The following is an 11,798-nucleotide window of genomic DNA, read 5'->3' as shown; positions in this document are numbered from 1 at the left end:
TCAGTAAAATGTTGGTTGAATCTGAGTTTATACTGATTACCTTGGCAGGATGTGGGATTACCTGTCATCCTTAAATGAATTTATAAAACTCCTCCTTGATAGATTCCCTATCTAAATGTAACACATTTTCATACAATCTTAATTCCTTTGATAGTGTTACATATGTAGATGTCCAAGCTCAACCAAGCATACATTGAATATTATGTACTTCAATTACACAAGGCAATATTTTCTGCCTCTATCTGTAAATTATAGGTATGTCCTCTTCTTTTGGAGCTTACAGTGGTGTGCTAGAGATGGTGTATAGTGGTTGACGAGAACCAATTCTTTGTGGATCATCCCACCTCTCCATTTTGTAATTTCACATGAATAGCTTGACATCGGACATGTTGGGATTATTTACATCATGGAAATCAGCAAATGCTACAAATCAGGTTTCTATTCTGATGCAAATTCTCTATCTTTTACCTGTACCATGGTACTTCAATTAATGGCAGGTAAAGAGAATCTAGAAGGTTGTGCATAACTCCTCTATGCCTTTGCTTCTACTCATAGGCATTGTCCAGAAGTAATTGAAAGGCTGAGCTTAAATGCAAGAGAACAAGGAAATAATGGGGAGCAGAAGGCATGTTTGGTGAGCACCATAGTTTATGCCAGGGAGAGTGGTTAAATGTCAAATTAAATAACCCTTACTTTGTAGTCATAGATTCTTACTGGCTTTGAGAAAACCATTCTTATAATAATGAGTCATAAATATTTGGATACAATGAAATTAACTGAGACCTAATTCACAGCTACCTCTTGGCTGAAGATGTGTGATCATATACTATGAATTGAAGAGTTAGTTCCTCTGGGATGATGTTTTCCAAAGGACCTGGAAACTTCCTGAGAAATAATTAACCCTAAGGGGAGAGGTAATAAATCTACAAATCTGGCCAGATAAAGAAACTTTCAGCTTCAGAAGGAGGAGCTTCTAGGAGAAGAGCAAAGCTTTTGTTTCTCAAATTTGACTGTCATCTAAGTGCTACCTAAGCTAATATTTATGATTTGCAGGAAGGAGGGAAAATATACGTAGAAACCAAAAAAGACTTTTTTGTATCAATACCCTGTAAAATATTGGGGTACAAGCTACAGTACTTTGGCTTTCTGCTAAGGGAGTATAATGAAGGCAGGAGAAGAAAATTTTACCCATTTTGCCACTATACTGTGTAATATTTCTTAACCTTTCATAAAATAAACCCTATGTCCAGAATAATATATGTGTAGATATAATTAGACACAAATTCATCATATGAATTCTGGCAGTTCATGTAGTCTCATGTAACATCCCACTGCTAATGTTCTAAGGGAGCCCTCAGTTCCAACACAGGGGCAGAGGTATCTGAGAGGTAACTGTCCTAGTGAAAGTAAATGTTCTCAGGAGAACCGTGTCTGCATGGGGTGTGGTGCATAGTGCGGATGAGGGTAATATTGAGTAGAGTTAGCCATGTCTACTGAGAAATAGCTCTATTTTGGCCACAGAGAGATACCTTTCATTTAAAAAAAATTGACAGATAAAATTATATGTATTTACCATGTACAGTATGATGTCTTACAGTATATATACATTTTGCAATGATAAGATCTAGCTAATTAACATATGTATTACCTCACATATTTATCATTTCTGTGGTGAGAATACTTTATATCCATTCTCTTAGCATTTTTCAAGAATACAATATATTATTAACTATAGTCACTACGTTGTATAAAAGATATATTGAACTCATTCCTTCTATCTAACTGAAATTTTATATTCTTTGACCAATATCTTCCCAACATCCCCACCCTCCCAACAATTTCCAGCCCCTGATAATTGCCATTCTCTTCTCTACTTCTAAAAGATCAACTTTTTTAGATTCCACATATAAGCAAAATCGTGTGGTATTTGTCTTCCTGTGCCTGGCTTATTTCACTTAACATGATATCCTCCAGGTTCATTCATGCTGTCATAAATAAGAGGATTTTCTTCTCTTATTGTGATGGAATAGTATTCCATTGTGTGTATATGCACTGCTATTCATTCATCTGTTGGTAGACACTTAGGTTGCTTTCATATTTGTCTATTGTGAATAATGTGGCAATAACTATGAGTCATTTTCGTATTTGTCTACTATGAATAATGTGACAATGACCATGGGAGTGCTGGTATCTCTCTGTATACTGATTTCATTTCTTTGGATGCATAACCAGTAGTTGGATTGCTGGGTCATATGTTAGTTCTACTTTAAATTTTTTGAAAACCTCCATACTTCTTTCCATAATGGTTGTACTAATTTATATTCCCATTAATAGTGTGCAAGGGTTTCCTTTTTTCCTCATCCTCGTCAATACTTGTTATCTTTTGGCTTGTTGTTGAGAATGGGCATTCTAACAGGTGCAAGGTGATAAGCAATACTTGTAAAACTGCAAAACCATTTGAAATCTTGATTGCATGCATTGATTTTTGTGGTGAGACTGTGGAAGAAATAGCAGACCTTCTGTAGTGAGTTTTTAATTGTTTCTCAAAGAGTGAAATTTGACCAGGAAACTCTATAAGTTATCTATGGTGCCAAGTGAATGTGTTAATACCTGTAAAAGGATTAGATCAATGTCTGGCACATACTTAATTCTATATAAATGTTAACTGCTATCTTATTAACATTATTATTGCCATATTTTTTAGTACTACCATCACTTTATTTCTTTATACTTTAGAATTAAGTAAAGCATACTGTTTGTAAAAAAAAAGGGGGGGAAAATGAGTACGCTTTGGAGTTTGGGGCACTGTGGATGAGCTTTAAAGAACACTAGCAATAAGGAAATTAGTGCAGTGATACTGAAGTCATTTTTCTTCATGAAAGTACAAAGTAGAAAAAAAGATAAAATTTTACATCTCAGTTCTTTAAATCTAACTTTGCAAATTATCTATATGAGAGTTAGTTTTCTATAAATAATTTAAGCTATCATTAACTGAGTTATTAATTTTAGGAGAATTTAGATAATATAGACATTATGCTGCCCCACATGCGTAAGGACAGGAGTTAGTACAAGGCATACACTATTAGATGCTGAGCATGGTGTGGGGCTTATTTCAATCATCCTGAATCAATGATGCCATTAAAACTAGTGTGCACATTGTCTTCACAGAAGTTACTAGTGATGGCAGTGGCTGGGAGGCACGGGCGGTGTTGGCAGGAGGGGTTGTGGGAGTGGCAGTGGCAGCGGTGGGTCCCCTGTGTGCCACGTCCCTGAGGTGGCCAACTGTGCAGCTGTCCATCCTTCCGCAGCAGGCTGGAGCCTGCTCCCAGGCCGGGAGCCTTCATTGCTCCGGACCCTGAATCCACATCACTACTATCACCCACCACCGCAACAGGGAGGGTTCAGGGAGGAGGCACAGCTGGGCCAGGGGCAGTGCTGCACTCCATGGAGCTGGCGGGATCCAGGGACAAGCGGGAGCCCTGGGAGCCGCTGCCATGGGGCCGGGCAGAGCTGCCCGCCAGCCGGGGAGTGTGGTCGGACAAAGAGAGGCCCAGGGCGCAGAGCTGGGTCTATGCTTTGAGGGCCCGGGGCGGGAAGTGGGAGTGGTGCCGGCTCCAGGGACCTGGCCAGTGGCGCGGCCACCGCGCTCACCCCACCAAGGGCACTGAGTTCCTTTGCCTTTGGAGGAGGCTTTGCGCAGGGCGCCTGGGACCCCGTCCCTGGGGTCCGCACAGCATCAGGCTGATCGTTGAGTCTGACACTCCTGACAGCCAGGCCAGGGTTCACGATTCACTCCCAGAGGCGCCCCCGCTACTGACAGGTCCACGAGCTGGGCAAAGGGGAGCCCTGGGGGCTGCCCCTGAGCACGGAGGCCATGGAGGGAGCTTGCAGCGTCGTTGCTCTTGCTGCTGCAAGGAAGCATGGCTGGGACTCCCAGGGGTCTCTGCACTCTGCACTCTTGGGAGCCTGGGAAAGTTCCCTCTTCCCCTGCAGGATCAAGGATGTCTGCTCCCACCATCTGGCCTCTCCCTGCTCCCGATGCCCACTCCGATCTCCAAACAGGGTTAGGGCTGAGATCGGGGCTGACACAGCCCGGCGGGGTGTGTGCAAACTCCGGGCAGTGCTGACACACTAGCCTTCTGCCACCTCAGCCCCCCTCCAGACTCTGGGCTCCAATAAGGATGGCGGGGAAGACAATGGGGGTGCTGACTTGCAGGTGCCCATTGGTGCAAGCAGCCTGGGCGCCATGGGCGATGGCAGGAGACAGACAGGCTCTTGGGTGGAAGGGGACAGTCCCCAGTGAGTCCTCATCTTCAGACCAGGGAGGGCCTGAAGGCAGGGGTCTGTGCTGACAGTCCTACAGACCAAGTGGAAACCTGGTGCCTTTTCCACCGCCCATGGCTGCCCATGGACCAATCGACAAGCACTTCCTCCTTTTTGAGACCCATAAAAGTCCCTAGCTCAGCTAGAGCAGAACAGACAACCAATGACCAGCTATAGAGAGGAACTGCCCTCTCCACTGATAGTTGAAGATGTGGGGAGGACAAGCTGCAGAGAGGAGCCACTCTCTCTGCTGATAGCTGAACACTTGTCAGGACGATTTGTCTAGCAGAGAGGACTTACCCTCTCTGCTAGGAGCTGAATGCTCATCAGCTCACCCTGGCTGCAGAAAGGAGCTACCCCCTGCAGGTTTCCTCTGAGCTCTTCTATCACTCAATAAAGCTCCGCTTCATCTTGCTCACCTTCCACTTGTCTGTGTACCTCATTCTTCCTGGTCGCAGGACAAGAACGTGGGCCCTGCCGCCAGGCTAAGACAGCTGAAACACAAACAGGGCTGAAACATGCCCCTTGCTCATCACATTGCAGGTGAAGAGAAGGAGAAAAGAACTGTGGCCCTTCAGGAAGCCTAGACCTGGGAGCTCCCCCAGCCAGGGATGTGACTCCCTCTTTGGGACCCTGCAGTTCCTGACATCTCCAAGTTACCAGGTGTCACTGCATTCCCCGTTGCCAGCCAGGGAAGCTGCTTGTGGTGGGCCTGGTCCAGCTGCAGCCTTTCAGAGAGCCAGTGCCCATGCTAGCACCTGGAGCTGCCTGCCCCATAGCAGCAGCCGGCTTGTCTGACTGCAGTGACCTGACCCCATGCTGGCTCACAACCCTTTGCCGCTCAAAGCCTGACTTGCAATCTCCCTTGGAGGCGTGGGATCCAGGCAGGTAAGGTGAGTTGAGCACAGCCTCTAGGCCCAGTGGGCAGAATGAGCCCAGTGGTTTGGAGCAAAACTCGAGGAAAGGCGCCACCGGCCACAGGTTTGCGGCCTGAAAGGTGACACCCCAAAGATCTCCTAACACTAGCACATGTTAAATGTCAAGGAAATTTCAAAAGCAGTTGCGCTTGATGAAGGTATTTCTGTTTCTTTGGAATACATTTATAATATTAAATCATTAATGGTATATCATACTGCAGTTGCATTTTAACACCCTTTGCATTGTCAAAAGTGGTATGACCATAAAAATAAAGGAAAGTATGATTAAGGTCTTTTTTTTGTAATAAGTGTATTTCTTCATTTCTGAAAAATAAAACTGGCTGCTGGCTGTACTTACTTATCAGCCACAGAATGCCATGGTTTATAAATTTTATAATAATAAAGTCTGGCAGAAGAAACAAATTGAAAACAGGAAATGAAAATCAAAAATTTAAACTGAGTAGAGATAATAAAATAAAAATAATTTGAAAGTGAATTAGAAATTAAAAGAACACCAACATAACAGAAGTCTGGTAATGTTGTTACTGACATTGAATGTTAACATGCCAGATGTATTAATATTTTATATTTATAAATTCAGAGTAAAAATTAAATAGGGAGAAGTAATTACCCTGTCTTTTCTTCCCAATATTATTTTTTGGAATTTTATGAACATTCTCATATATATTAAATTATGAAATAAATGCAAAAATAATGTGAAATTATTTTTCTTTTGCATTTCAATATGATTAGAAATAAAAGTATTCATGTATTGGCTTAGTGAGTAAATTTATAACACGTTATTTTGATGTTATTTGATCGTACATCTGAATTCCTAATTCCAGAGCAGCTTATCTAGTTGGAATTAGTTTACTTGGAAGGGGTAAGGAATAGAGAGATCTTTCATGTGTAACCTGTATTGTTTTTGTTTTTCTGAAAATAACTTAGTCTTTTGTACATAAATAGATGGCTAGATTACAGCAGCTGCTTGGAAAAGAGTTTGTGGAGGGAGTCTTCCAGTGTCTGCTGAGTTCAGCTGTTCTGGGTAATTGGAGGAAGTCGTGGCTTCCTCATCCTGACCCTTTAGAATCAGTGAACCAGCATAAATGCCAAATGCACTGCTTCCAGTGGGAAAGGAAGGGATAATACTGAGACTTCCTTTATGCATGCAGAGAGCATATAGGAATACAGGAGGCTAGGGTAGCTGAGCTCACTGACTTCTGGTTTATTACCTCTCATAGGGCTGAAAGGAAAGCATTCAGGCTGCTGTCTTGAGAAAGCTGGCACAGTTCAAACTGGCACGAACCCATTTAGGGAAACCCTAGTGATTTCCAGAGGGGAAAAAATGTAGAGAAAATTAAGAAGTAGGTGAGCCGTCTTCGGTGACTTTCGTGTTTTTGTTTCAAAGCCCTCACTTGCTAATTTATAGACTTTTTCCTAATGAGTCCAGAACTCTTGTTTCATCCTTCTCTTATTTTATTTATTTATTTATTTATTTATTTATTTATTTATTTATTTATTTATTTATTTATTTTTGAGGCATAGTCTTGCTCTGTCGCCAGGCTGGAGTGCAGTGGCACAATCTCGGCTCACTGAAACCTCCACTTCCCAGGTTCAAGTGATTCTCCTGCCTCAACCCCTCCAAGTAGCTGGGACTACAGGCGTGCGCCACCACGTCCGGCTAATTTCTGTATTTTTAGTACAGACGGGATTTCACCATGTTGGCCAGGATGGTCTCTATCTCTTGATCTCATGATCTGCCCGCCTTGGCCTCCCAAAGTGATGGAATTACAGGCATGAGCCACCACGCCCAGCCCCTTCTCTCTTTTCTTTCCTTCCCTTAAACATCCAACACATGTGACTGGTTCTACAGTAGAAACAAGCAAAGCAGCTACATGAAGATGAGGAAGAAGAGGATGATACTATCCGCAGCTTCAGCCTTTCCAAGAAATGGTGATAAAATTTATCTGAAAAGATTGCTGGAAATGTGCTGGCTTTACTTCTGGGTAATTGAGTAGGTAAGGAGTTACAGGCCGAGAGAGCACTCTGGTCAAAGGTACAGAGACACATAGGTTGTTGTGGTTGGATCATATTACAGAGAATGTGTATAAAAGTGCTAAGAAATGAGACTGTCCAACCTCCTGCCTCTACTATAGAGGATAAGGTAGGCCTAACAGTAAAGTGTTTAGACAGAGAGATCCTGAGGATACATGATGAACTGTTTCTAAGAGACAGTGCAACAGATTAAAAACAACAGTAATAAAATCTCATGTTAGATCCAAATGTGCACTGGACCAGGTGTGAGAAATAATAACCAGAAGTCCTCGGCTTGGATAACATGTAGGGGCAGACTCAGAGAAGCGGAGCAAGAATAAAGGGAGGGCATCCAGGATTTCCACACCTTGCTCTATCCACCTACCATCCTCTTTCCCACTTCAGAATGGTCCACTGCTGTTGCTGCTGCCTGGAATATTCTTTCACCACTCTTCTCTACTAACTCCTGCTCATGACCCTGTTTACTGCCAATGAGACACATTCCTTAAAATCCTTTCCAAAATCAGGTTTCATTAGTAGGAGGCTGAAGGCCTAAACCATGAAAGTGAGATACAGTATCGATAGGTTTTTAGGTTAGTTTAGTAGGTAGAATGGACAGAATTAGTGGCTAATTTGACATGAAAAATGTAAGGCAGAGCAGGCTACATAATTTTGGGGTCTATTGCAAAATGAAAACACAGTACACATTGTTTATTATTAAGTATTTAATGAAGTATGAGGTCCTTCAGTGAATGGAGTCTTGTGTGAGTGCATAAGTTACATGCCCATGAAGCTGGCCCTGATGAAGGGAGAGGGAGGAGATCAGGACTATTTTCAGCCTGAGTGGTTAGATGGTGGCAGATACCCTCAGTGAACAAAAAAGTGTTCTGGAAAGAGGAGCAGAGTTAGGTAAACTTTGAAATGTTGATATTCAGGTATATGAGGGACATTGATCGGAAGAGTTCAGTGTGTAGTTGAATATTTGCTTGTGAAGAACCTGTATTTATTTCCTTCATTATCCACCTGCTTAATCCCAGGTGCACACCCTAGTCTCTAGTAACTTTTATATTTTGGGATGGAACAAAATTTTTAGCCAAAAGAATAATTGAGTCTGCTTAAAAGTAATAGAGAGAAGGCTTTTGTCTCCACCAGATTATAGGGTATGTTGTCCTGAACACTGAGAAGAGAAGAATCTAGCTGTCTATTTTAGTACACTGAAAACAGTAATGGATTTCTCGAGCTGTAACCTGGAGGAGACTTGAGAGAGATAATAAATCTTCCAGAGGTGTCTTATTTATTGACCATCCCACCTAAGGGAATGATACTTATTTTTACTTTATACTCCTTTTTGTTGACTCCCTTTTAGTAAACCATTTATTTAAAAAATTGTAATGGTGTTTATTTCTGAAATTACATGGAAGCTGATTATGAGTCCTACAGTATAAAACCATCCTACGCAGACCAGGTTCCCGTCCTGATTTCTGACATGGGCCTTCGTGAGGAAAAGGTGACTGGTATTTAGCTATTGTGTGAAATCTATTGAAAGATGACACAGATGATGGTGCTGCCGAGTGCTCTCCCATGACTCACAGATGTAGTTGCCTAGTAACTAACCCAAAATAACATTGCTGAGGCACATCAAACCCGAGAGGCAGGGGCTGCTGTGAATCAGGACGAAGGTGCTCCAGTCAGCGGCTAACTTTTTTTCTCATTCATGGTTTCAAATTGGAAATTTTGTGGCCTTTGGTCAGTGATCCATAGAGTGAATAAGAACTTCTGGGTATATAACATCAAATCGAGTGCCTTTCTCTTTTTTCATCACTGACTGTGGTGCAGCTTTCTTTGAAAGTTTGATCTAATTGTGAAAGATGTGGAGGTCAAGCTCAAACTAAATACAGTAATAAAACAGCTCAGTCTTCTCAGCAGAACATGAGGTTATAACATTTTCCCCAGGGTTTAAAATCTGTTTGGGGTGCTTTAAAATTTTTTTAAATTACAAAAGTAAAACATGCTCATTACTCAAACATTACATTTAATTTGAAAGTTTCATTGTTATATATTCTTTCAAAAACACATATTTTATGTGTGCATGGATGTGAATAAGTGTGTTTATATGTACATTCACAGTGTTGAGTTCCCTAGAGAAGTAAAATAAGATGAACGTGTAGAAAAGCTCATTGGATTTACAAGTTAGGTTGTCACTGGTGACTTTTGTCTGAATGGCTATACTAAGTACGTGGAATGAGATCCTGATTTTAATAATGTAATCAGTGAATAGGAAGAGAACAAGCGAGTCTATCAATTGTGGACTACTCTTTTGAAGGTCTTGGTTAAGAAGGGCACGTAGAGACAAAAGAATAAGGAAGGCTTCTTTATCTGGGAAGGATTTTACGGTATTTATACACTGTGAGGAAGAAGTCAGCAGAGAATAAAAGGATGGAAATATAGGCTAATGAGGGATGGACAAATATAAGTTAAATATTGTGGTAAAAATGTATGTTTGACTGTGAGTGTTAGAATAGGTTGAAAATTTTTTAAGGTTTTTTTTTTGCCCTTATTTTAAAAAATTAAGGAATATCATGTCAGCTCTGATGACAGAGCTTTAGAAAATCTGCACAAATTCTGCTTTCTGAAATTCCTTTGCTGCAGTTTTATAGCACTCATTTTCATTAGTAACTGTCTTTATATAGAGACTCTAAGCAGAGTCTTTACTTCCTATGTCACTTGCAGTACTGGGGACTAACTATGCATTTCCTCTTAGTAAGAGCATGGTGTGAGTGTGAGAGGGCTTCCCTCATTCACGCTGTCTTTTGCACAATCATCTAGGGACAATTCTCTGCATTCTTTGTAAGTCTGCCTGGCTTAAGTTATATGAATGGTAAATAAATCTACCTAAATTCTAATTGCATTTACTTCAATGGGTATAATAATAATATAGTATTAATTATTTTAATAGTTAATAACTATCAATATGTCATATTTATTTGTAAATTTTCAGCCAATACTTCAGCACAGAAAATAAAAATTACCTTTAAAATGTTGATCAATTTCTGTAATTTATTTATTTTAATTATTATTATTATTATTGGACTGAGTCTTGCCCTGTTGCCCAGGCTGGAGTATGGTGGCACAGTTAGAGCTTACTGCAGCCTCAACGCCCTGGGTTCAAGTGATCCTCCCACTTCAGTTTCCCAAGTAGCTAGTATCACAGGTGCATGCCACGACACACAGCTGATTTTTGTTTATTTTTTCTAGAGAAGAGGTCTCAGTGTATTGCCCAGGCTAATTTTTGTAACTTAAAAGTAACATTAACTAAGTCAGAAAATATCTTGTGGAGCACAATAACAGGGTTATGTGATAGTAATGAGATTGACCAAAGAATGAAGATGTTCCAATTTCTCAAGTACCTTTTGAAAGTCTAAGTTTTTATTCTACATTTATAGAAATCCTACCAAAAGAGGAAATTAGGAAATAATTTACCTATTTAACAAGCTACATCCAGAGGTCAACACAGCTGAACATGAATATATTGTTTCTTCAATTTACACTTTTATTTTCTTAATGTTTATTTTGGAAATCATTGTCAAGCTATATAAAGCTTTAGGATAATCATCTTTATCATGTATCCTTATTTTTTAAATTTAGAATTTGGCTCTCATTAATGTCCTGTGAGGAATAAGTTTAAATGACAATGACTGCTGAAATAAAGACATTCTGGTAAAAATTGTAATCACTGGGAAGATCCACCCAGGTGCCTCTTTGGGACCTAGGGACTCATTTTTTAGCTGTTGGGAGTATCGACAGCTGATGACTTAAAGCTGAATTATTTTCCATGAATTGCCTTTGTTGGAAGAAAACTGCTTTACCCAAGCCATGACTCTCCCCAGGGTAGCCAATATTCCAATGACTGGCCCATGTAGGGGGATCTAAACTTGATCTCTCACCTTTATTATGGAATTTTTGAAGGACAAAACTCTCTGTAGGATTGGCCAAGGCTCTATTGCAATAACATTATAATTCAACCTCTCCTCCTGCTAAGTTCATCCTTCATACATGTTGTTTCTCCATCCCTAGTACCTCCTGTATGAAAATCTTAAACAGTCTCAAAATCTGTTTCATACGACCTATGAAAGAGGCTAAGATTCACATATATAGAATCAACTTTTCTTTACAGTATATGTTTGCTACAAAGATAAGCCAATTTACAGTGATATTTTCCCTCAAGCAATGGAGCCTGTAAGGATAGCCAGAGCCCAGAAGATAATTCATACCATATAAGACAATCTGTACTTCAGGGAGAGAGTGTTCTAATACTTCTACATCATTTTACAGAAAGTGACAGAATATGATTTTAGAAAAATTATTCTTGCAACGAAAGGAAGGGGAGATTGCAGAGATACAGAGATACATGTTCAGGCACTATTGTTTTAGTGCAGGTGAGAAGTAGTAAGGGCTGAAAGACAGATAATGCAGTGGGGGTTGAAAGGAGAAATATGAAGAGCCATGGAGGAACTAGACATAGGA

At 40.6% G+C, this 11,798-nt stretch overlaps 2 annotated features.

Annotated features, from left to right (window-relative positions):
* Positions 4,592–5,092: an enhancer, noted in NCBI's record as "H3K4me1 hESC enhancer chr3:166832679-166833179 (GRCh37/hg19 assembly coordinates)". NCBI's record gives its function as "activates a minimal SCP1, AML or CMV promoter by ChIP-STARR-seq in naive H9 embryonic stem cells {active_cell/tissue: H9 hESC(naive)}" and the evidence as "EXISTENCE:reporter gene assay evidence [ECO:0000049][PMID:30033119]".
* Positions 5,093–5,593: an enhancer, noted in NCBI's record as "H3K4me1 hESC enhancer chr3:166832178-166832678 (GRCh37/hg19 assembly coordinates)". NCBI's record gives its function as "activates a minimal SCP1, AML or CMV promoter by ChIP-STARR-seq in naive H9 embryonic stem cells {active_cell/tissue: H9 hESC(naive)}" and the evidence as "EXISTENCE:reporter gene assay evidence [ECO:0000049][PMID:30033119]".

The sequence above is a fragment of the Homo sapiens genome, chromosome 3, assembly GCF_000001405.40.
Source record: "Homo sapiens chromosome 3, GRCh38.p14 Primary Assembly".
In the NCBI taxonomy this organism is placed as follows: domain Eukaryota; kingdom Metazoa; phylum Chordata; class Mammalia; order Primates; family Hominidae; genus Homo; species Homo sapiens.
This window is presented reverse-complemented; position numbering and strand designations above follow the sequence as displayed.